The sequence below is a fragment of the Homo sapiens genome, chromosome 14, assembly GCF_000001405.40.
Source record: "Homo sapiens chromosome 14, GRCh38.p14 Primary Assembly".
NCBI classification, from domain to species: Eukaryota; Metazoa; Chordata; class Mammalia; order Primates; family Hominidae; genus Homo; species Homo sapiens.
This window is the reverse complement of record NC_000014.9, coordinates 96,362,432-96,388,123: the sequence shown is the minus strand read 5'-3', so window position 1 is coordinate 96,388,123 and position 25,692 is coordinate 96,362,432. Positions and strand designations below refer to the sequence as shown.

The 25,692-nt window shown below is 39.9% G+C and overlaps 2 protein-coding genes and 1 pseudogene across 5 annotated transcripts in view, besides 4 other annotated features; 1 reads left to right on the top strand and 2 right to left on the bottom strand.

Annotated features, from left to right (window-relative positions):
• Window positions 834–24,598, bottom strand: GSKIP (GSK3B interacting protein). 4 transcript variants are annotated; one of them, NM_001271904.1, is given in 4 exon segments: window positions 834–2,601; window positions 5,619–5,877; window positions 8,336–8,436; window positions 22,858–23,388. In NM_001271904.1, coding segments are annotated over 2 exon segments (420 nt in total). In that variant the 5' UTR covers window position 5,877; window positions 8,336–8,436; window positions 22,858–23,388; the 3' UTR covers window positions 834–2,439.
• Window positions 3,312–3,500, bottom strand: RNU2-33P (RNA, U2 small nuclear 33, pseudogene; annotated as a pseudogene).
• Window positions 23,877–24,697: an enhancer, noted in NCBI's record as "H3K27ac hESC enhancer chr14:96829764-96830584 (GRCh37/hg19 assembly coordinates)". NCBI's record gives its function as "activates a minimal SCP1, AML or CMV promoter by ChIP-STARR-seq in primed H9 embryonic stem cells {active_cell/tissue: H9 hESC(primed)}" and the evidence as "EXISTENCE:reporter gene assay evidence [ECO:0000049][PMID:30033119]".
• Window positions 23,877–24,912: a biological region, named in NCBI's record as "Sharpr-MPRA regulatory region 11883".
• Window positions 24,326–24,675: a silencer, noted in NCBI's record as "silent region_6053". NCBI's record gives its function as "represses an Ori minimal core promoter by ATAC-STARR-seq in GM12878 lymphoblastoid cells {active_cell/tissue: GM12878}" and the evidence as "EXISTENCE:reporter gene assay evidence [ECO:0000049][PMID:35858748]".
• Window positions 24,618–24,912: an enhancer, noted in NCBI's record as "tiled region #11883; HepG2 Activating non-DNase unmatched - State 1:Tss, and K562 Activating DNase matched - State 1:Tss". NCBI's record gives its function as "activates a minimal TATA promoter and a strong SV40 promoter by Sharpr-MPRA in HepG2 and K562 cells {active_cell/tissue: HepG2 | K562}" and the evidence as "EXISTENCE:reporter gene assay evidence [ECO:0000049][PMID:27701403]".
• Window positions 24,783–25,692, top strand: part of ATG2B (autophagy related 2B) — an 84,147-nt gene continuing 83,237 nt past the window's right edge. The window contains exon 1 of the mRNA NM_018036.7: window positions 24,783–25,309. Within this exon, the coding sequence (NP_060506.6) occupies window positions 25,148–25,309 (162 nt within the window). The 5' untranslated portion in view covers window positions 24,783–25,147. The remainder of the gene's footprint in view (window positions 25,310–25,692) is intronic.

Below are 25,692 nucleotides of genomic sequence, written 5' to 3'. Positions count from 1 at the left end.
AAAGATTTCAACAATATACCCTCCAATAGAATGTAAGAGTGCTTCCTCATTAAATCCTTACTGGTATTAAGTTTAAATAAGAAGAATCACAAAAGTAGCAGGTGAAATGACCCAATAACTTAAAATTTCTCTTTCTTGAGTTAATGGTTGGGTTGGGCCTCTTTCAAGTAGTTACTGACATCTATTTTTTTTTCTGAGTTGACCATATTATTTGCCCACTGTTTGCATTTTTTCTTCCTACTGATTTGTAAAAGTTATTTATATAAAAGTTTTTTTTTTCTTTTTCCTTTAGAAGTGAAATCAAGGCTTAATTTATCTGGTTAAGTTTTATAATTTTCATTTTTTTTTTTTTTTTTTAAGAGACAGGGTCTTGTTCTGTCATCCAGGCTGGAGCGCAGCAGCACGATTGTAGCTCACTGCAGTCTCCAATTCCTGGGCTCAAGCAATCTTCATGCTTCAGCTTTCCTAATAGCTAGGACTGCAGGCATGTGTCACCAGGCCATGCTTTTATAATTTTTTGTAGAAATGGGATCTATGTTGCGCAGGCTGTCTTGCACTCCTGGCCTCAAGTGATCCTCCTGCCTGGGCCTCCCAAACCACTGGAATTGCAAGTGTGAGCCACGACACCTGGCCTATCTGCTGGTTAAGTTCTTTAAACAGACCAGGTAAAATGGAGGTTTTAATATCTAGATTCTCATGTATATCTGTGTAGTTTTATTAATGTCCTCTCCTCTTGTTCCTCATTGCTCTTTCATAGTAGTAACAAGAGAAAGCTCACTTCAGTCATTTCAAATCCAAATGTAACAATGCAGAATTAAAAAATGGAAACAAGCTCTTGGAATTAATCATTTATCACAAAATGAACAATTTCAATTCTTAAACATACAATCACTTTTTTTCATACTAACTCAAAATGAGTAAACAGAATTTTATTCAAACTTTACAAATATCATTTACATTTAGCCTGAGATTAAACATGAGAAAGTTCAACCTGAAGTTAGACTTCGTTGCCCAGTTAAGCATCTGAAAATAAAGCTGAGAATGAACATACATCATCAAACAAAGCATTCCAATGAAGTCTGGCAATGAATTGTGACACAAACTGAACTTTAATTTGCTCTGGTCCACATGATCTTCAGAGCCTAAAAGTTCCTGTTTTTTAATAATGATGGAAAAATATCTGCAAATGATAAATGCATGAAGGTATGACCAGATGCAAAATTTTAGTTCAACATTTCTATAGCAGCTGCTTTAGGTGACCATTAAAAAACAACTCCCCAATCCTTACTGTTCAACATGTACTTGAAAACATGCAGCAGCATGGTACAGTTTATTAAATTTATAAATATCAGTACCTGTAATAAAATATAAAATACTGACTATTCCTTTTTCAAATATTAAGTCTCTGAATGCTTCATTCATCCTTTGGTTTCAAACCCATACAATGCACTCATATTACATTGTAGATTTCGAATGGAGACAGAACACTGTACATCTGTTGGGGAAGGTGGGGTGCTGTAGGAATACCAAAGCACTACATCATAGAAAGTAAACGTTGAAGCAAAAATACTTTCTGAATATATACTGTACATTATGTAAACACACATTCAGAATAAGAATCAACACAGGCCAAAATATTGTTTTCTAGGAAACCAGAATCTTCTTTCTTTTAAATCACACACTGAAGATGCTTTTTTGTTAAGAAAAAGAATGAAGTCTGTTCCTGTATTTGCTTATGTGCTTAGATATCTTGGAAATGAGTAATTATTACATTCATTTGCTAACGGTTTATCCTCTGCTTAGTTGGCTGGCTGTTGCAAACACGGAATACAGAACTATTTCAGTCCCTGTTTTTCATTTAATACTAGTTAAGTAATATATAATTAATTCATCTTTATTAATCCATTATTAGTAATATAAATAGATTAAGTGAAGCAGTGAATTTCAAAATTTGTGCAGGGGAAACTAGTTGATAATTTGTTTCCAATAAGGCTGGTAGCAATTAATTACTACAAAGTTTGTCCAAGCTAGTATTGAACCCCTGATTTAGCAGGCTGAATCAAAGTGTATAGTTAGGTACTTCTAATTCCTCTATTACTGTGCAAATCTAGAATTTCCTATGTAAAAGACAGTGCTGGCAGCATCAAAGCCCTGTAATAGTATGAAATAGTGATTAGGATTTGAAATGAAGAGATATTATATGAAGACATGTGAATGTCTTAATGATGGTATCATAGCAACGGCCTCAGAATTCCCTTACTGAAACAGAAACTAAGACAAATCATTATTCAATAATCTTCTGAGCCAAAAGCCTAAGTTGGAAGCAAGTGATAAAAACACAAAACCAAAGATGCATTTTCTATGACCATATGCAAGAATTTTAAGCTTTATATCAACATTCTGTACCAGCACCAGCCCCTCTGAAAGGAAAAAGTGTAGTCATGACTGTCCATCTCTTTTCAAAGCTTCCAGTCTTTGAAGCAGTGCGTTTCCAAATGCTTCTCGGTAGGCGGGGCTGAGTGTATCCAACAAGGAGTAGACTGTTTCATGGTAGGGAGTCTGTAAATGATCATCTACCTGGTCAAAAGCATAGCCTACCACCTACAAGAGAAATGCAACAGTGAATTCATTAGTTTTCATGTTGGTACAGAAAGCAAAATCCAAGTGTTTATGTGAGTAATCATCCTTTCAAAAAAATAAATTATTTCTTTTCCTAGCCACTAGACCACCAGATACATGGGTAACTGAGTGAAACTATTTCTCAAAGTCAGAGTATACACATTTTAAATACAACCTTTAATACTTCAGCAACTTATAATGTATAACACAGAAACACCACTAAAATGCTCCCTATAGAATTTTCAACATTTAAAAGGTTTTACTTAGAAGCTCAAGGAAATGCAGAGAAAGAATTTGAAAAGCTACACAAAAATGGTATTTCATTTTCATATTCTAAAACATGCATCTATTATTTACCCCATTTAATTCCACATATATTGAGGGTCCACTATATTAAGTACTATAATAGGTAATATATCATTAGTTCATATTTTTTTCATTATTTTTCACTTCTTTTATAAACAATTCTAAAAATTATTCCTAATAATTTAGTTTTAATAATTAGTTGTTAATTTTAATAATTGTTTATTAATAATTGGTTTAATAGTTTATTAGTTTTAATAACTGTTTAGCTTTATTATTAGTAATCTGAAAGGCCACTTTCACCTAATATATTTCTTACCTGACAGGGAATAAATGCTCAATTCTGTGAGATAAAAGAACATGTTAATGTGTTTTTTTTTTCTTGGTAGGGGTACACTATTTCTGGAGGTATTTGCAATACCAGGTCGATGTGTGAAGTTAATGGAGCAAGAGCCTATTCTATCTCCCTGCTCCAAAAATCCATTTAATATATTGTCCTTAGATAGAGGACATAACAGATATTAAACTGATAAGAAAAGATACTCCAATTGATCTTAGGCAAAAGGCTGACAGGCCATGTGTTTTTCTTTTTTTTTTTTTCCTGTGAACACAGCTACAACTTTTCTTTTTGACAAGATTATAAGGTATATCATGGTTCACCAGCACAATATAGGGCAAAATTAATTTAGTTTTTGCTGACTTAAGTGTGTACATTCCCTATATAAATCCTAAATTTTTATGACATCTATTTAAGCCATAGGAGGTGAAAGTTTGTGTTAGAAATAGAAGCTGAGTTTTTTTTTTTTTAAATGAAAAGCAGAGGCAGACACCTAAGGAAAATGAATCACACCTCTTCAGATCCATGCTCTATTACTGCACTCTCTACAGTGGAGTACAGTTCAGTTTGCCTTCTTCCTCTTATCTCTGCTAGACTGTGATCTTCCTGGTGGACAGGGATCATGTCTTATGCATGGTTTGATTTTCAATTGCTGACACAGGATAGTTGCTCAATAAATGTTAACTGAATCAGACTGAAAAACAAACAAATATTTGAGCACCTACTACATGTCAGGTTTTACATATGGTTCAGATCTTTCTGTATCATACAGTCATATAATCATTCCCCAAATCGTTTTAAGTTTTTTTTAAATCTCCAAGTTATAGATTAAGAAGCAGAAACTCTCTCAGGGGTAGACGGACTCACTCAAGATCACTTAAATTCACATTTAAGACTGCTGACTCTCTGATCAGAACTCCTTCTACCTCTCCACAGTCAACTTAGAATTAACCAACACAAGACAGAATTATCTTACTAATTCTGTCATTTATCTCTACTTCTGATTTAAGATTCACCTCTAAATACTCTGAGCTTTTAGTACAAATTTAAGGATGTGAAAAGAAGTGCACAAAAATTAGTTAATTCAGGTACTATGCTTAAAGCTAAGCAGCTATCTTTGCAGCAGCTGTGAGGGAACTGAGGGTAGTACAGATGCTGGCCTTGCAATTTGCTCCATCAAGGAATATACAGTATACACGACTCATCTTCAGCAAAGTGAATCCAGCGAATTAAAGAGATGTTTATGTACTTGATATCATGTGACATTCTTACTTGCTTAGGCAGGCCTTGCTCACCACCTTATGATAATGTACAATTACTTTGAATAAATATAGAAACACAGAAATGTATGACATTTTCTAAGACTGAAGATTCACTGATTAGTAAGGTTAAAACTAGATTTTAGATTTTCTAATGTCTATCCCTTTGTTCAGTAGGTCAAAGATTTTATAATAGTTTTTTTTTTTTTTTAAACAGGGTCTGTGTACCCAGGCTGGAGTATAGTGGCCCAATCCTAGCTCACTGCAACCTCGAACTCATAGGCCCCCTCCTAAGCCTCCCAGGTAGCTGGATTACAGGCAAGTGCTGCCATGTTGGGTTAATTAACAAAAAATATATTGTAGAAACACGGTCTTGCTATGCTGCCCAGGCTGGTCTTGAACTTCTGCTCTAAAATGATCCTACCAGCTTGGCCTCCCTAAGTGCTGGGATTACAGGTAAGAGCCCGCAGGTCTGGCCTATAGTTTTTTCTTTTTTAATTAAAAGTTGCTCTCAGGTGATGTTTTCTACTATTCTAAACTCATGATTTTGGTTTAAAGAATGGAAAGGTTAATCCGCCTAGAAAAGCTCTCATAATAAAGAGATACTCATAATAAAGGGTTAATGGGACACTCTTGGAAATCTGGGGGTGGAATGTTCTGCTCTGATTTATTTCTGATCTCAGAGTTGGAAAACAGTGTTGTCAAGTATGTTATTTTAACAGAAGCGACATTTTCAAGAGGTGTTGAAAATCTTTTCAACACAGTGACTGCAAAACCCATTCAATGCAAAGAATGTATGTATAATTCTGGTGAACACATTTAGCTATAGATGAGAAATAAATTAGTTTTGGGGGTCATGATTAAAACAAAGTCACGCCCTGCAAATCAAATGTTTTTCAAAAAAATTCTGTTTCCCCATATCGATCAAAAGCCTTTAAAATTAATAAAAATTTCTAGGTTAAAAGTTTTTCTTAAAAAAATTTGGAAGCTACTGAATATCCAGTTCTCTTTTAACACTCTTCCCCTCCCCACTACCCCTCTTTTTGATAAAGTGGTAAAGACATAAATAATTTTTTTTTCTAAAAGGAAAAGTGAGTTACCTTGAGCCCTGCTTCAGTGAGTTCTAGGCAATATCTGTTTCTTTCCTTTGTTTCCACATTGATATAGGCCACATCATCCGCACACCGCAGGCTTTTCGAGACAAACATGTTGTTAACAGCAAAGAGAACATCATTTACAACTGCTTCAGCTTCGAGCCTCATGTCTTTCATGTCAGTTCCTTCAAAACCGTTCAGCTCTGAACCTTCTTCAAATCCTGACATACTGCTTAGCTCCATGGGATTACAGTCTGTTTCCATTCTGTAAAAAAAAAAAAAAGCAGTTATAAAATTTGTTTATAGAAAGACATTCAAACTACTACATTTGATTAAAATTAGCTATGCCTTACAATTGCTCCTTAGTACAAAACACTAGCTAACAATTGTTAGGAAAAATACTATCTAAAAACATTTCTAGTGGTTTTTCACAGCAAAATCACCGACACCCATAGATCTTCAAAAAAAAGAATCTCCCTTCTCCACTTACCCCCAACAGGTCAATTTCCATATTGATAAGCATTTAGAATATTGTGTTTTTTAGCTATTTTGAATAATGCCTCAGTAACAATCCTAGTACATATTTTTAAATGTATAATTATTTCTCTAGGACAGATATTTAGGACTGAAATTGCTGAGTCAAAGGACATACTTATTTTAACTTTTAATAGATACTGTCAATTTACCCTTCAAAAAAACAAAAAAAGAGAGTATGACTTATACTTTACCAATAGAATATGAGGGACTGTACTCTTTTTCACCTCTTTCCAATTCTTTTAAATTTTTGCCAATTTAAGAGGCAAAGAATGATAGCTCATTGTTGTAATATGTATTTCCTTGAGTAAACATCTGTTTGGATGTTTAAAGGATAGTTTTAGTTCTAAGATCATACAGTTGCAATAAGCAGAAATGGAAATAAATCTAAATTGCATGAAATCAGAGTGCAAGTCTTTACCTACCACAGTAGGTAAGTCTCAGTAGCTCCTTTTATGACTTCTGGATTGGGGTTCTGCTCTAGGCCTTCCCCATACCATGATTACATTTTAAAAATCCCCTAAATTCTCGTTGTATCTGAATTTAACTCATCCATCTGGAATTTATTTTGCATAACTTTATTTTCCAAATGGATAGCCAACTGTACCAATACCATTTACTGAATAACTCATCTTTTCACCATTAATTTGAACTGACCCAAATGTTATATTTTGAAAAATATTATTTCTAATTTCTCACGCTAACTTGATCAAATATTACTGCCAGGCTGCTATGTGGTTTTAGCTTTTCTTCTGTAACTGGGGTTAAAAAAGATCTTCCTGGCTATATGTATTGTTAAAATTTGAAATGTATGAATGAGAAAAGTTAATGTGAAAGTGCTTTGGAATGTACAAAAGGCTTTACAGAACAAGTTATGGTGAGCTATTGTGCTTTCTTTTTGCTTGGCAGGTTTTAAAAGTAAAGTTTCACTTCTCTGATATGGATTAAGCATCTGCTGTCGTGAATGAAGCATAACTCTTCACTCACTCACATATTCAATCAACATTCATTTCCTATCTACTTGGGCACTGTGGTCAAGGTCTAGTCCCACCCCCTCACCACACTGGAGTTAGATTAGACTGGTAAGAAACTCATTGTATTTTAAGAGACAAGGTCTCACCATGTTGCCCAGGCTGGCGTGCAGTGGTTATTCACAGGTGTGATCACTGTGCACTATAGCCTAGAACTCCTGAGCTCAAGCCATCCTACTACCTCAGCCGCCTGAGTAGTTGAGACTACAGGCTCAAGCCACCACACCTGGCTCTTAAATGCATTTTTAGAAGGAGTCTCAATTTTTTTCTGACAATATGGACACCGATCTGGTACACTGCACAGTCCATTGCTATTTCCAAGTTATGCCCTATTTGTGTAATATTCAAAATCCTTCAAGATAGTGACATTCAAAATCCTTTAAGCTAGTCATTAGAATTACCTGTAAGAGCTTATAAAATTACAGATACATTTTCCTCACTGCAGAAAAACAAAATCAAAATCTCTGGAAGACGAGTTATTTTTTTCAGAGCTCCTGAGTGATTTTGCTGTGCAGCCACTGCTCTAAATTATCAGCAAAAATCTTAAGAAGCTGGAGTTCCTACAGCTGAATGTCATTTGCACATTACAAAAGTCAGAACTACTTGCTGAATGCAATTTATAATAACATATGTAAAGCTATTTCAAAAACTTACATAGCAAATGTATAATGTATTCCTCCAATCCTATTTCAATTAATAATGTTTTAAAGACTCTTTATCTCGTCTCTCACAGCACTTTACAGAATTAGTCACTCGCTACAAACAACAGAAGTTAATTATAAAATTACCAATTATTGCTGGAGCAATCTGTTGGGTAACTGAAAGCTCAAATTGACTTATTATATAGGAAAAAAAATTTGGCTTTCCAAATTTTACCTTATTCCAAAAATAATCAGTATACTGCTCAAGATTATATTTGGTCTTATACATACAAAATGAGCCCTTTCTTTTTTACATAGTTTTGAAGATTTAGAAATGACTACTATAAATCTCTTGACATCATGAATATCAAACATCTTAATTTTGCTTAAGTTATCAAGTACTTCAATTGGAGATGTCAGAAATAATGATCATTACATAAAAAGATGTTTATATGAGAAAGTTTTACATTTATAAAGCTTTTTTTTAAGCAAGAGTGTAATTCATTGCAATTAGGACCTTGATGATGCAGAAAGATCAAGAATCCAGTACCTGAAGGGAAGGAATCCTCACAGGTCAGTGAAGTAGGTCACCAAACAGTTGTGATAATCAGCACCGAGCTGCAAAAAAGAGGAAGACACCTTTCCTAAGACTGAACTTTTAAGACACTTTCCCTGAAATGTCTTTGAATAACATACAATTTAGAACTTTTGATGATACATATAAATTAAAGTAATGGAGCATTACATAAATAACATTTTTAGCTATTATTTTAAGGTATGATTACAACTTGTTTTTTGTTGGTTGAAGCAGGTTCTTGATTATTTACCAATATCCTTTTCCCTGCCTATGACCACCCATATTTTCCAAGGGCAACCATAATGCTCCCTTCCCGTACTAAGTAAAGTAACCAAGCAATTTGGCTGAGATTGACTCCAATCCCCAGATACAGACTCTTCAAACTAATTAATACATGAAATTCTTCCTGGTCACTTTACTTTTTTGAGACAGAGTCTCGCTCTGTTGCCCAGGCTGGAGTGCAGTGACATGATCTCGGCTCACTGCAACCTCTGCCTCCCGGCTTCAAGTGATTCTCCCGCCTCAGCCTCCCGAGTAGCTGGGATTACAGACCCGGCTAATTTTTGTATTTTTAGTCAAGACAAGGTTTCACCATGTTGGCCAGGCTTGTCTTGAACTCCCGACCTCAAGCAATCCACCCGCCTCAGCCTCCCAAAGTGCTGGGATTACAGGCATGAACCACTGCGCCCGGACTTCTTGGTCACTTTAATCAGATTAGTTCAGTCACAGCACACAGCTCAAGCTGTTCCAAGTAGCCATGTTGAGATGGGGCCACTAGCCCAAGCATGATGCTGACAACAGAAAAAAACAGAGCCAAGAGATTCACAGAGAAATGTGGCCAGAGCCCATGCTGGTTTCCCAGGATTTGCACTTTTCAGTTATCGGAGCCAACAAATTCCTATTATCTTACGGGCAACAGAAAGCATTCTATTGGATTTAGGAGTCTACCCATAATGAAAGGCAGTGATTGATTTAGCTCTATAACAGCCCTATGAAGGTAAAAAGGTTTAGAAAATGGAGCTCGGGTGATCATGATGAATATTTTTGTGCCTGCCATGTAGAAAGTGCTTAATAAAAGCTTTATAGATAAATATCCAAAATCTTTGGATATCAATTAGTGTCCTATTGCTACTATAATAAATTACCAAATTAGTGGCTTCAAATAGCACACACTTATTCTCTTACAGTTCTGGAGATGAGAAGTCTAAAAGCAAGATGTCAGCAGGTCTGTATTCCTTCTAGAGGCTTCAGGAAGGAATCTGTTTCCTTACCTTTTCTCACTTCTAGAGGCCATCTGAATTCCTTAGCTTATGGTACCTTCCTCAATCTTTAACATAATAAAAACATTCAAATGACTTCTTTTTCTGCTCTTCCTTTTTTTTTGGAGAGTTATTTATTTATGAGGCAGGATCTTGCTGTCACCTAGGCCATAGTGCAGTGGCACAATCTCAGGCTCAAATGATCCTCCCACCTCAACCTCCCAAGTAGTTGGGACTGCAGGTGGGTGCCATCAGGTCCGGGTGATTCTATTTTTTGGAGAGACAGGGTCTTCCTATGTTTACCCAGGCTAGTCTTGAACTCCTGGGATCCAGCAATCCTCCTGCCTTGGTCTCCCACAATGCTGGGATTACAGGTGTGAGCCACTGCGCTTGGCCATAATTTATTTTCAGTGAACACATTTGATGGGCAACATAAGGTGCTAAGCAGTTTACATGCTTCTCTTAAAAGGAAGCCTAGAGTACTTGCCAAGCCCATTGCCTTCTCTGGAAAGGTTTCTGAATCATAGGTTTCATGCTTTGTATTTTAATTCCAGCATCATCATAGCAACATGTACTGGGGATGGGTATTCCAATTAAAGGCACCATCTCAAGGTTGGCAAGGGGTTTATTTATGTCCCAAGTCAAGAGCTTTGTCCAACTACTTCCGGATGGTGGTCTAGCTAATCAGATGCTCTCTCAAGGAGTTTGAAAAGAGCCAAAAACCATGAAGTCAGTTAGCTGGTGATGACAGGAGTTACAGAGGCAGAGCAGTGAGCAGCTAGGTTGCTATGTTGACCGACACTTGAGAAGCAGCTTCCACACTTTGGATTATGTACCCCAGAAGGTAAAAATATTTTGAGCAGACACCTTATTATAAGCACTTATATAAATATTCTACCACAATTAAAATATTTAAGACATATAAATATACATTTAAACAGAAGGTAAAGATGGAATATAGATATATTTTCTGCTCAATGGATTATCTGTGTACCTGACTAGAAGCCTGTACCATTGAGGATGAGAAAATACACGCCCATTTCAGCGAAGGAACAACCACTAGAATTACTATCAACACTTTAGAACTGCCATCAGGTTACCAGAATGGTTGACTCATCAATGTGAATCCTGTAAAAATCTTTGCTTTCCCTTTTTGTACACAAAACAATTTATCATCATATAAGAAATTCTAAATGAATGGAACTTTCTGTGATGACGGAAATGTTCTTTATTGTTGCCCTCCAATACAGCAGCTAATAGCCATCTGAAGTTTGGCTACTGTGATGGAGAAATTGAATTAAAAATTTATTTAATTTTGGTTCATTTAAATTTAAATAGCTAGTGGCCACTGTATCAGATGGCACAGGTCTAGACCTCTGTGAAAACTTGCAGATAATATAATAAGCAGAGTTTATACTAAGGTTGAAAAATCTCAGCAGATGTAAAGGCACTGAATCAAACTTTATATATGAGTAGCAAAATTTGGAACTTGAGATATAATTGAATCTTAATTACTGTATGTAAAGGAATCAATCATCATTGTTTCAAATAGTAAAAACTAATGAATCATTATCCTATGTTTTATAATCTTGTCTACTTGGATTCTAAGTTTATTAATCAAATATCATAATCCACTCGGTACCTACATAGCCGACTTTTTTTTAAGCACTAGAATACTAATAAAAGATATCTACTGGTAGCTTGCAGTCTACTTTGGGAAAGAAAACAGGCACATGAAATATTTGCACAAATATTAATGCCATACACACACATCATAATTATTCTCCCCAAATGTACTTAATTGTGAGTGGCAGATAATTACAGAAAACAATGATATGTCTTCGTCCTACTACAAACTCTTATCACTAAACTTGTATGAACCTGAGTTGGGCACATAATCTCATTGGTCTTACGGAGGTCTCATCTACAAAATAAGGTAAATAGGCAGAAAATTCTTTACTGTTCTAAGAGCTTTGACATTCTATAATCTATGACGTAATGGTTAGTTATGATGGGGCTTGACTAAGGGTACAGGTCAGTCAAAATTGGTTTGGAATGAGCATGAATAAAGAGTTATAAATAAGCAAAAAGGTCTTGAGAGTTGTGAAAAATTCTGTGTAGGGAACAAAGCATAAGCAAAGGTCAGCACAGGGTGTGGCAGGAACTAGTCGGGCTAAAATACAAGGATATGCAGGGATGGCCCAATCTGACAGCATGCTGACACCTAGAGAGAGGAATTTGATTTTGATATAATAGGCTGTTTTAAGGTCTTCGGAATGGAAATACAAATATCTTTTTATTTAATATGGGTTTCTTACTGGCAGTATGTAGTGTGGTCCTGCTTTTTCATCCATCTGGCAACCTCTTTTAATTGGGGTGTGCTATTAGTATGAATACTTGTCCCCTCCAAAACTCATGTTGAAATTCAATTTCCAATGCAACGTGGCAGCACCAAAAAGTGAAGCCTTAAGAGGTGACTGGGTCATGAGTGCTCTACCCAAAGAGTGGATTAATCCATTTATGGATTAATAGTTTAATGGGTTATCATGCAAGTGGAACTGGTGGCTCTGTAAGAAGAGGGGGAAAGATGTGAGCCAGCACATTCAGCCCCCTCACCATGTGATACCCTGTGCCACCTCAGGACTCTGCAGAGTCCCCACCGCCAAGAAGGCCCTCTCCAAATGTGACCCCTCTACCTTGGACTTCTCAGCCTCCATTACTATAAGAAATAAATTTCAAGCCGGGCGTGGTGGCTCACGCCTGTTATCCCAGCACTTTGGGAGAATGAGGTGGGTGGATCACGAGGTCAGGAGTTCGAGACCAGCCTGGCCAATATGGTGAAACCCCATCTCTACTATAAATACAAAAATTAGCCAGGCGTGGTGGTGCATGCCTGTAGTCCCAGCTACTCGGGAGGCTGAGGCAGGAGAATCGCTTGAACCTGGGAGGCGGAGGTTGCAGTGAGCCGAGATTGCGCCACTGTACTCTAGCCGGGGCAACAGAGTGAGACGCTGTCTCAAAAAAAAAAAAAAAGAGAGAAAAAGAAATAAATTTCTTTTCTTTATAAATTTTCGAGTTTCAGGTATTCTGTTATAAGCAACTGAAAATGGACTAAGGGTGTTCAGACCACTTACATTTGATTACTGTAATTATTGATATAGTTGAGTGTGAATTTGCTGTCTTGCTATTTCTTTGCTTTTAGTCCCATCTGTACTTTACTCCCTTTTCCTTATTTTCCTCCTTGCTTTTGAATTAACCACTTTTTAGGATTCTATTTTATATCTTTTGGTTCTTATTAACGATATTTTTTGTTGTGTTTTTGGTGGTTGCTTTAAAGCTTATAGTATACATCTTTATCACAATGTACCTCCAATTAATACTATACTACTTCATGTATATGAACTTTACAAAACACTACTATATAGCATTTGCTATTTTTGTCACATATTTTACTTCTACATAAATTATAAACTTCATCATAATGTTATTATTCTTGCTTTAAAGAGTCAATTATTTTTCAGAGAGATTAGATAAGTCTTTTTATATGTAATATATAATTACCATTTTTTGTGCTCCTTCATTTGTACTGATCTATATCTACATGTATTATCTGTATCATTTTCCTTCTGCCTGAATAACTTCTTTCAACATTTCCTGTAGTGTAGGTCTGCTGTTGATGAATCCTTTCAACTTTCCTATGTCTGAACTAGTCTCCTTTTCATCTTCATTTGTGAAAGATGTTTTTGCTGGGTAGAGAATCCTAGGTTGGCAGTTTTTTTTTCTTTCAAGTCTTTAAATATGTTTCTTGGATGCAGTAGCATACACCTGCAGTCCCGGCTATTTGGGAGTCTAAGGTGGAAGAACTGCTTGAGCTCAGTTCATGACCAGCCTGGGCAAAATAGTAAGAGCCTGTGTCTCTAAAATAAAAAAATTAAAAAGATGTTTCTCGACTATCACACCTTGCTTGTCTTGTTTCCCATGAAACATTTGATGTGATTGTTATCTTTGTTCCTCTTGGTGTAGTTTTTTCATGCTTCTTTTCCTTAGGTTTCATTGAGATTCTGGAATCTGTAGGTTTAGAGTTTTCAACAAATTTGGAAAATTTCTGGCCATTATTTCTTCAAACATTTATGTGTCCCTATCCTCTTTGGGGACTCTAATTTTATGTATATTAGTCCAAGTGAAGGTGTCCTGTTCCTCATTGCTGTATTTATTTTTTTCACTGTTTCATTTTGAATTGTTTATTGATATGTCTTCAAGTTTGTTAGTCTTTTCTTCAGTATCTATTCTATTTGTGTCTTTTAATCTTTTAAACATATTTTCCATGTCTTTGCTTAATTTGCTCAATCTTTTTTCTAGCTTTTTGAACATATAAAATACAGCCATAATAAGTGTTATAATGTCCTGCCTACTAATTTCAAGTATTATTTCTGGGTTACTCTCAACGGACAGATTTTTCTTCTCAATTGTAGGTTATATTCTGCTGCTCTGCATGCCTGGTCTTTTCTGACTGGATGCCAGACATTGTGAATGTGGTGCTGAATGTTTTTATATTATTTTAAATATTATTGAATTCATTTGGTTAGACGCATGGTGAGAAAAAATTTAAAAAGTAATAAATATTGTTGAGCATTGTCCTGGGAGGTAGTTATCTGGAAACAGCTTGATCTTTCTGGGTCTTGCTTTTAGACAAGATCTGCGTTTAATCTCTAGTTAATTCTGTCCCATTACAGAGGCAAAACCTTTCTGAGTACTCTACCCAATGCCCTATGAATTACGAGGGTTTCTATTCTGTGTGATAAGAATGGGAATTATCCCTAGTCCTGCTTTAGCTCAGAAAACTGTTTCCTGTAATTCTTTTTTTTTTTTAATGGAAGAACAGAAATGATTATTAAACACATGAAAATACACTCACAGTTAGAAATTATAGAAATAATTAAAATGAGGTAACATTTAACATCTTGCAGATCAGTAAGACATTTTCCTTTTTGAGTCTATGCATAAAAAATTTTCTAAATCAAGTATTATTGAGGATGCAGAACACAGAACATTTAGACACTGAGTGGGAGTGTAAACTGGCACAACACTTTGGAAAATGATTTGATATTATCCAATAAAGATGAAGATCCAGCAACTTAGTCTCCAAAGAAATGAGGAGATGTATAATTTTCATATCACCTCTGCTTCAGAAAGTCCCAAACTGAGTATCCTCCTTTCTTTTTTTTTTTTTTTTTTTTTTTGAGACAGAGTCTCGCTCTGTCACCCAGGCTGGAGTATAGTGGTGCTATCTCAGTTCACTGCAATCCGGGCCTTCTGGGTTCATGCCATTCTCCTGCCTCAGCCTCCTGAGTAGCTGGGATTACAAGTGGCCACCACCGTGCCTGGCTAATCTTTGTATTTTTAGTATAGACGGGGTTTCATCATGTTGGTTAGGCTGGTCTCAAACTCTTGACCTCAAGTGATCCACCCACCTCAGCCTCCCAAGTGTTGGGATTACAGGCGTGAGCCACAGCACCTGGCCCCTCCTCTCATTCTTTTTGGTAGTTCTTTCCCCAGCCTAGGGCAGTGAACTCATGAATTAGTATTCAGCTACAGGCTGGAGGGAGACCCTTCCTATATCCTCACAGTCCTTGCTTTCTGTGAAGCTATTTACTTTCTAGTACTCTGTCCTAGCTGCCTTGGCCTTCTTGGGTTTCCAGCTCTATGTCCTCAATTCAGGGAGACCATCAGGCTTTACCTGGATTTTTCTTTCCAGTGCCATGCCTGGCTCTAGGCAATACAATAGGGCAACAGGCTCACCATATTTGTATGATGCTTCTCAGGGATCACCTATACTACTCTGAACCAACTTTTACCATCTTGTTGTTTGTTTCATTAATGAATTAAATGCATTTTGACACATGCTCACCATATGTTTTATGAGATCCATGTTTTTAACTTAAAAAATTTTATTTTAACACGACTTTGAAGACTTTTAGTCCTCTAAAATTCAGCTCAGACAAACCTATTTCAGGATTGTGTATCTGCTCTCAAGATGGCCAATCACTGTATCTTCCTGAACAGCATCTCTGCTTTGGTACTGCTGTACTTAAGCCTCATGGCAAATAATTTTTGTGTCTGTACTACTACAGACCCATGAAGATGGGAGCCTGTGATATACACATCACCAGCACAGTGTCTGGCATAAAGCAGGACTTCATTGAATATTTCCTGAATGAATAAAACAGAGAAAATTCTAACTCTCTGCTTCTCAGGTGTGATACTCGGCTCTGTGACAAGGAGTATACAAAGACTCAGGACAAACATGGCAGATATTCTTGGAAAATACATATCACTGTTACTATATCAATATCAGGAAATATTACAGAACTGCCTAGAATTTTAATGAAAAAGTACACAAATGTTTGGATGTCTCAAGCCACATCCTCTTTAGATTATACCCCTACGCGTCTAGGGTTTCCTTTGCCTCTAAAAGGTACATTCGAGTGAGGAATATTGGCATGAAAAATACGTTTTAGAAGTATAGCCCTAACCCAAGGACTTAATTCAACAAGATGAAAATTTCAGGCACCGTGTCTGGCAGTATAAAGTTAACAAGCAGAGGCAGGAGCTGGTAAAAGGATACAAGGTTAGGGCTGAGTTAGGCCTTCTCTAAGTTTTTGCAACTCTTTCCACTTCAGTTATGCTATTGCTCTTTGTTAAAAATTAATTGTTGATAGTTTTGGCTGGGTGTGGTGGCCCACACCTGTAATCCCAACACTTTGGGAGGCTGAGGCAGGTGGATCACTCAAGGTCAGGAGTTTGTGACCAGTCTGGCCAACATGGCGAAACCCCATCTCTACTAAAAATAGAAAAAAATTAGCCAGGTGTGGTGGCACGTGCCTATAATCCCAGCTACTGGGGAGGCTGAGGCGGGAGAATCTCTTGAACCCGAGAGGCAGAGGCTGCAGTGAGCTGAGATTGCACCAGTGTACTCCAGCCTGGGTGACAGAGTGAGACTCTGTCTCAAAAAAAAAAAAAAAAAAAAGATTGTTGATAGCTTTAATTTTTTAATATTCTAATTTTCCTATGGTGAAAAGAAAATGATTATGTTTTCAATAAGAAAAAACAATTTAAAAATTGCAGTCTTTTGGAAAGTATAGGGTGTAGGAAGCAGAAATCTTTTTCTTAGAGAAGTCAGGTTATTATTCAGACACTTAAAATAACTGGTAGCATCAGTTACAAATAAAACAAGAGTTCTGAATTTATCTGCATTTCCAACAACTGTTTTGAAAGTAAAGATGAATAAAGTTTATTAATTATTATCAGCAAGATTTAGAATTTAGGCAAAGCTAAAACTCAATTTAACCTTTGTTTTCTGTAACACATAACATTTAATCTGTTTTCAATAGCTTACAGATGTATTTGTTTTGAAATAAAACATTTTAATTCAGAATCATGTGTAGTATCACAAATATAAAGTATTTGTAATTCAAGTAAGAATGGCTATTTTCCCATTTATACTCTGGTTTATAAAATTATTCTGCACCCCATTTTCAGCAATAACACAGACATATTTATATTCTTGTAATTATAAATCTAGACAACAGAATTGTGCTTATCTTAGTCTCTATGTATTGCTGTAAAGAAATATGTGAGGCTGGGTAATTTCTAAAGAAAAGAGGTTTATTTGGCTCATCGTTCCACAGGCTGTACACAAAGCACAGTGCCGGCATTTGCAATGGCCTCCAGCTGCTTCCGCTCGTGGTGGAAGGGGAGCCAGTGTGTGAAGATCACACAGTCAGAAAGGGTGGAGGTGGGGGAGATAGACAGATAGGTAGGTAGGTAGATAGAAAGCAGGAGATCCAGGCTCTTTTCAACAACCAGTTCTGTCAGAAACTGAGAGTGAAAACTCACTCATTCCTGGGAGAAAGACACCGGGCCATTCATGAGAGATCCACACCTCTCCCACCTCAAACTGGCCCCCCAACCCTACCCCGCCCCAACTCCCTGACCCAAACAGCTCTCACCACGTCCCATCTCCAATAGTGGGGATCATATTTTGACAAGAGACTTGATGGGGCCAAACGAACCATATCCAAACCATAGCCTTCCACTCCTCGCTTCTCAAATCTAGTGTCCTTCTCACATTCAAAATACAACCATTCTATCCCAATAGTCCCCAAGTCTTAACTTGTTCTAGCACCAACTCAAAAGTCCAAATTCTTATGAGACTCAAGGCAAGTTCCTTGCAGCTATAAGCTTGTGAAGTAAAAAACCAAGTTATTTACTTCCAAGATACACAATGACGGAAAAGTCATTGGATAAATGCTGTTTTCCAAAGGGAGAAATTGGCCAAGAGAAAAGGGTAAGATACTCCATGAGAATCTAAAGCCCATCAGGGCAGACATTAAACCTTCAAGTTCCAAAATCTCCTTTTAGCATGTCCTGCATCCTGGCACAGCAGTATGAGGGGTGGGCTCCCAAGGCTTTGGGCAGTCTCATCCCTATGACTCTGCTGGGTACAGCTCATGTGGCTGCTCTCATGAGTTGGAGTCAAATGCCTGAGGCTTTTCCAGGATGAGGGTGCACACTGCCAGTGGCTGTGCAATTCTGTGGTCCCCATGGCATCCCTGTTCTACTAGGCAATACCCCAGTGGAGACTCTCCATCGGGGCTCCAACACCACATTTCTGCTTGGCAATGTCCTAGCAGAGTCTTTCTGTGACACCTAGGCCTTCTGATACATCCTCTAAAATCTAAAATCTAAAATCTAAAATCTAGGTGGAAGCTGCCAAGCCTCTGCCACTTTTGCATTCTGTGCCCCAAAGTCCTAACAACACATAGAAGCTGCAAAGACATACAGCTTACAGCCTGAGCTGAGTACCTGGAGCCCTTTGAAACAGAACTGGAGCTGGAGCAACCAGGATGCAGGGAGCAGCATTCCAAGGTGGCACAGGACAGTTGCGCCCATGGCTTTGACTGTGGAAACCATTCTTGTCTTCTAGACTTGTGATGAGAGGGACAGCCTAGGAGATTTCTGAAATACCTTGAGGGCCTTTTCCCCATTGTCTTGGCTATTAGCACCTGGCTCCCTTTTATCTGAACTAACTGGATTCTTCTCCTGAAAATGCTCTTTCCTTCTTTAACACAAGGCCAGGCTGCATATTTTCCCATATTTTTATGCTCTGCTTTCCTTTTAAATTCCAACTTTAGGTCATTCCTTTCCTCCCATATTTAATTGTAAGCTGTTAAAAGCAGCCACGCCACTTCTTGAACCCTTTGCTGCTTAGACATTTCTTCTACCAGATACTCTAGGTCATCACTCAAGTTGGGCCTTCCACAAAGCCCTAGGGTATGGAGGCAATGCAGCCAAGTTCTTCGCTACAGTGTAACAAGGGTGATGTTTGCTCCAATTCCCAATAAGATCCTCATTTCCATCTGAGCTCTCCTCAGCATAGCCTTTACTGTCTATATTTCTATCAGCATTTTGGTCACAACCATTTAACCAATCTCTAAGAAGTTCCAAACATTCTTTCATCTTCCTGTTTTCTGAGCCCTTCAAGCTCTTTCAACCTCTGCCCATTACCCAGTTCTAAAGCTGCTTCCGCATTTTCAAGTCTCTTTATATCAACACCCCACTCTCAGTACCAATTTTCTGCCTTAGATGTTTCCACTCATGACAGAAGGGGAGCTGGGATATGCAGATCACATGGTGAAGGAAGGAAGGAGGGAGGGAGGGGAAGTGAGAGAGAAAGAGGGAGTAGGGGAGAGGGAGGGAGACAGATATACAGAGAGATACAGAGAGAAAGCCATTCATGAGGGATCCACCCCCATGATCCAAACACCTCCCACCAGGATTCACCTCTAACACCAGGGATCAAATTTCAACATGAGGCTTGGTGGGGCCAAACCATATCCAAACCACAGCAGTGCTTTTGTTGATTAAGGAGGGAACTCAGAAGAAAGAAATACACAGGGTTAATTTGAGTTTTTACAAACTGTAAATAAGCAGCAACACTGGCTGGGTGCTGTGGCTCATGCCTGTAATCCCAGCACTTTGGGAGGCCAAGGTGGGTGGATTGCTTGAGTCCAGGAGTTCGAGACCAGCATGGGCAACATGGTGAAACCCTGTCTCTACAAAAAAATACAAAAATTAGTGGCACAAGCCTGTAGTCCCAGCTACTTAGGGGCTGAGGTAGGAGGATCGGTTGAACCTGGGAGGTTGAGGCTACAATGAGCTATCGTGCCACTGCACTCCAGTCTGAGTGACAAAGTGAGACTCTGTCTCAAAAAAAAAAAAAAAAGAGTAGCAATACAACCTTGTAAACCTTTCCTTCGAAACCAGAAACTGTAAATGAGACTCTAGGAAAAGACACTCAAAAATGGAATGTAAAAAAAAAAAAAAATTCCAGTTATTACAGTTTCTTATTTCTATATAATCCTCTAGGAAATAAGTATTACTTGGCACTATATTTAAAGTACATTCTAACAAACATAAATCAATATCTACAGAGACATAAAATAGAAAACCTCACTGCTTTCCATTTAAACTCCAAATTGGTTCTCTACCAGATCCTGAGCAATATTCTGTTTCTAGCAAAGAGACAAAAATTGGAATACTTGACAATTGCTATTATTTATTCTGGTAGGTTGTATCACCTGATGTAAAGTTTCCATAAATGATTCCTTAAAACATCATACATAAATTATTTAGGAACCAGCTCTTTCTCCATAATTTTTGGGCGGTGTTCGGGTGTTTGTGTTTTTGGAGGATTCATCCAACTGGTTATTATGACATTGATTACTAAATCGTTTATTCTTTACTTCCTAATTTATTAGACTATTTTGTTTCATTACGAGTTCAGAGCATCAAAGAGCTTTATCCTTGATGACAAAAAAATGGGCAAAGACAGTCATATATACTTAGTCTGACAAAAGAACAGCCCCAGAAAGATTTCAAGAACATATGGAGTGCAAATTTTCACTTTGAAAGTCTGACCTTTCAGTTGACATTGTTAACAGTCAGCTGAGGGCAGGATACGATATCTTAATCATGATTACCTTTATTTGTATCACACACTACAACCTGGTAAATCCTCTCAATATGAACAAGGGGCCAGGAAGATGTGATGGTTAACAGGCTCTCAAGCAGACTGACTGGGGCTAGAATTTTAGCTTGGCCACTTAATTTACTCTGGGACTTGGAAAAAGATGTTTTAATCTTTCTCAGTCACACATTCCTCCTCTTTAAAATGATGTTAAAATAGCATCTACCTTTAAGTGATATTGAGAGAACTAAATGAATGAATACATGGAAAGTGCTTAGAACTGTGCTGGGCAAACAGCTGAAAAAATATAATCTATTATATTAAAAGTATTTAACACTATCTTTCAAGAAGAAAGCCTGACCCTGAAGCTCAAGCCATGTGGCTCCAAGTTAGGTGCTCTTTACATTATGTGGGGGATTGGCTGCTGCTGTGTTGTACAATTCCTCCAAGAGCCGTGAGGTGTGGAGCCCTGACAGCGTCGTCCTGTTACCTCAGGTGCAAGTCATTAAAAAAGGTCAAATACATCTCCTTGGCTTTTCTTTCATTTCCCATGTTAACAGATTTCTCTGAAGGAGGATTATTTTGACATGACCCATTTAGCCTCTGGCATACAGCCTCTCACCTGTCACTTCAAACTTTTACATAATTCTTAATAAGCTGACAATATTCGGTTGGGTAATTATTTTCTTTTTTAAAATTTATTATTATTTTTTGAAATAGGGTCTTGCTCTGGCACCAAGGCTGGTTTCAAACTCCTGGTCTCAGGTGATCCTTCCGGCCTTGGCCTTCCAAAGTGCTGGGATTACAGGGGCACGTCACCACACCTGGCCAGGGTAATTATTTTCATCTTCCTTAATTAATGCAAGGTGTTAACATTTTGTGACAGGTACTTTGTCTTTGACAAAACACAAAAATGGCACTGTGATTTGAGATGAGTTTGTACCCTACTGTAGCCAAAGATATCATAATGACAGGTCCTAAACCTTAACATTTATACTGAATTTCTCCTAGAAAGCATAAAGTTTACAAGGCAACACACAATACTCTGAATAGAGCATATTTGTTATTGCAAAACCGTCGTTTTAATTTTCCTTTCTGATATTTGAAATTGCAGGCACTCTATGGATAGCCCGAATGCAATTCTATATTGAAAAAGGAAACCACTTATTTAATAACTGCTGAAAGAAGTCCAAATTGTATCTATTTGTCAGAAGTCTATTTCAAACCTTCCAAAGCCTATTCTAATTTCTTGCAAGATCCCACCTTTGCCTTTTCATACCACCTTGTTTGTATTCCTTTTATGGCAAATATTAGAATTATTATTTACAAACATGTCTTATCTTCAAAATATATCCAGAATCCAACTGCTTCTAACTAATCATTTTCACCGCTACCGCTTTGGTCCAAACCACTGTCATCTTTTCCTTGCATTACGGTGATATCCTTCTAACTGGTTCTGCTGTTTTCACTCTGGCCCTCCCACTTCCACACCAGACTATTCTTAACAGCAGTTAGCATGATCCCATAGAAACTTAGGCCATACTGTGTCACTCCTCTCCTAAATCCACCTCACCCAGAGTAAAGGCCAAAGTTCTTTTTATTTTTTTAAGATAGAGTCTCACTCTGTTGCCCAGGCTGGAGTGCAGTGGCACAATCTCGGCTCACTGCAACCTCCGCCTCTCGGGTTCAAGCAATTCTCCTGCCTCAGCCTCCCAAGTAGCTGGGATTACAGGTGCACGCCATCACACCTGACTGATTTTTTATATATTTTTGGTAAAGACAGGGTTTCACCATGTTGGCCATGCTAGTCTTGAACTCCTGACCTCAAGTGATCCGCCCACCTCGGCCTCCCAAAAGTTCTGGGATTACAGGAGTGAGCCACTGTGCCCGGCTCCAAAGTTCTTATCAATGGCCTACGAGGCCCTACATGATGTGCTTCCTCTGCGCCCCGCCCGCCCCACCCCCCACCCCCAAACTGCCCAGCTTCTACTTTTTCCTTCACTCACTCTTGATGTTCCCTAAATTCATCAAGCATTCTCCCGTGACAGGGCGTTGCACTTGCTGTTCCCCTTGCATGGAAAACAACTCTTCCAGGTATACATGTGCCTCACTTCCCAGCTTTCTCCAAGTTTCTGCTAAAATGTAATCTTATTAAACAAGAGAATTTCTCTTACCATCTCATATAAAAATGGCAAGTCCCTTCTCTCTTCCCCATCTCCACTCCCTTTACATTGCTTTCGTTTTTCCAACAGCCCTTATCACCACAAAGCATATTATTCACTCATTTATTGTATGTCTCCTCCCTTCAATAAAATGTAAGTTCCAGGAAGGAAGAGATTTATCTGTTCACTGCTGTAATCCCAGTACCTAGAACAGTGCTTGGCACACAGAAGGCAATCAATAAATATTTACTGAATAAATGAACAAACTTCCACTTTATTGAGAGAAAGGGTCTTGCTCTGTGGTTCAGGCTGGAGTGCAGTGGCATGATCATAGCTCGTACGATCCTTTCTGATATTTGAAATTGCAGGCACTCTATGGATAGCGTCAATGCAATTATGCAGCCTCAAAGTCCTGGGCTCAAGCGATCCTTCCGCCTCAGCCTCCACAAGCAGGTACCACCATGCTTCCGTTTTAGAACATAAACTCCTTGAAGGTTCGGCCTGATTCTTGACACTGTTCACATGATCAACTGTGGTGACTTTCATTTAATGGACCTTAACAAATATTTCTGAATGAAGAGCAAGGGAATCTAAGTTACTGAGAATACTTGAGATGAGTCTACAAAGAATGAGGGAAATCAACAATCCAAGCAACTGCATACAAAGTACCCTGGTTCTAAAACGAAAAGGTGGTTGTGGAAAGGGGAACCAGATGTTTCTCCATCTACCAATATTTTGGGCTGTATTTCCAAGGCATTCATGAAAGTTGCCGAGACAGTAAACATTTCACTCCTTAAACTGGTCGTCTTAATTCACTGTGATTAAACAGCTGTATGTTTCAGGACTCTGTTCAGGTTCGTGCCCTACTCATATCATTTAATCTTCCCAACAAATCCATGCACATAAGATTTTAATCCGCTCACACTCGGCAAAGGAGGCAACGTGGGCTCGGGGAGGGCAGTGGCCGCTCAAAGTGGCTGGGCGGCTAATAGGTGTCAGTGCCGGGATTCTAACGAAGGACATCTGGCTTCTGGGCCATAGAACACCCGCACCCAGGCCTTTCGAGGTTGACTTAACTTAACAGCCGGCTCCGCCTCTGCAGGAGTTACCTCCCAAAAGGCAGAAATACGATTGCGCAGACTGCCAGAACAGCCCAAGTTCTTCACCCAGGTTCCGGCGGGGTCAGGAGCCTTTAGCATTTCTCAAGGAATGCAGTTTTGCCCACAGATGCTTCGAAAACCCAAGTTTCCTGATCGTTGCTATGACACACCCAGGATTAAGCGAGCGTATGCGAGAAGCGCTCTGCAAACCGCCAGGCAAACGGCAACGAAGAAGCTGCCTCAGAAACAATACCTGAATGAGGCGGGGGCCGAAGAACTTGCTGACAATGGGCACCGGTCAATGCTCGGGTGCGGGCGGGGATGCTCGAGAAGGGCTCCAGTCCTCCCAGCGGAGACGGCGGAGCCCCAAGTGTGCGTTTCCGGGGCGCCGAGGTCTGAGGGGAGCCGGGAGAGCCAGGCCGGCCAGACCGGCCCCCAGACCCCTCTTAACACGGGCGCGGGGCCCCTGCAGCCTGCCGCCCCTCTCGGCCCAGCCAGCTGCATGGCGTCGCGTCCCCATCCGGAAGGCCTGACGGCCCGCCGGCGCCCCGAGCCCCTAGCCCTTCTCGGGGGCCGCCCCTCGCCCGCAGCCACCCCGGCTGCCGCTCACCTGCGCGCCCGGCGTCCTCTTCTTCCTTCCTCCGGAGGCGACTGGAGCCGACCGGCGGTGCCGCCCCCTCCCTCCCCGCCTTCTTCCGCCCCGCCCCCTCGGAGCCGGAACTGCTCCAGCCCCCGCCCTTCTGCCCGCCTTCCGCGGCCCCAGTGTGGCGTCACTTCCGCCAGCGCCCGGCGGCGCGCCGGGAGTCTGGGTCTCGTGAACGCGCCAGGAGCGTCCCTACAGCCGGGAACGCGCCTCGCGGATGACAACAAATTCGTCGCGCGGCGGCAGTGGCGGTGGCTGCCTCAGCCCCTGCCGCCTCCTCTCGCGCTCTCTTGCACTCTCTCCGAGCCGGTTGGGACCCTCCTCGGAAGTCCCCTGGCCTGGGGCCAGGAGGACCCCTCTGCGTCTTGCCTCCGCCAGGCCCAGCGCGAGCGGTGCGGCGCCGGCGATGGGGTCTCCCTGAGGGACTCCCGGCACCAAATAGGGATGGAGGGGCCGCCCCAGGCTTAGGCCCCGCCGCGGCCTGGAGCCGGAGTCGCTACCCCGAGGCCGGAGCCGTCGCAACCCGCAGCCGCAGTCAGCCCAGCTGCCAGCAGTCACTATGCCTTGGCCGTTTTCGGAGTCCATCAAGAAGAGGGCCTGCCGGTACCTCCTGCAGAGGTACCTGGGCCACTTTCTGCAGGAGAAGCTGAGCCTGGAGCAGCTCAGCCTGGACCTGTACCAAGGCACCGGGTCCCTCGCCCAGGTCCCCTTGGACAAATGGGTAAGAGCTGCCGGCGGCGAGCCGGGCGGGGCTCGCTCCCCTCTTTAGGGCGCTTTGAACCAGTGCCATCCAAGATTGGTGACAGTCAGTCCCTCCTTGGGAATTGTTTGGACCCGAGTGTGACACGGCTCAGAGAAATGTGTTAGAGTGTTGTTTAATCTGTTTCTAACAAGTTTGCTCTCCTAAATCACGTGTTCCGGAAACTTTAACAGATGTAATGGAATCTACACTGTGGGAATAATTGAGTCAGTGCTTCGGGGGTCTGTGAAGCAGGCTCAATAGGTCCGTGGGAGGAGGTGACCAGAACTGTCCCTCGGGATGTGAGGGGCCGCAGGGTTTTGTGGCAAACAAACCCTGCCTTGTGGGATGACATTCTGGAAGGA

Excerpts from the sequence above, each read along its gene's own strand:
- GSKIP (NM_016472.5), bottom strand. The coding sequence starts at position 5,876 with ATGGAAACAGACTGTAATCCCATGGAGCTAAGCAGTATGTCAGGATTT. Across the intron at positions 2,602-5,618 it reads TCACTGAAGCAGGGCTCAAG|GTGGTAGGCTATGCTTTTGA; the intron begins GTAACTCACTTT and ends TTTCTCTTGTAG.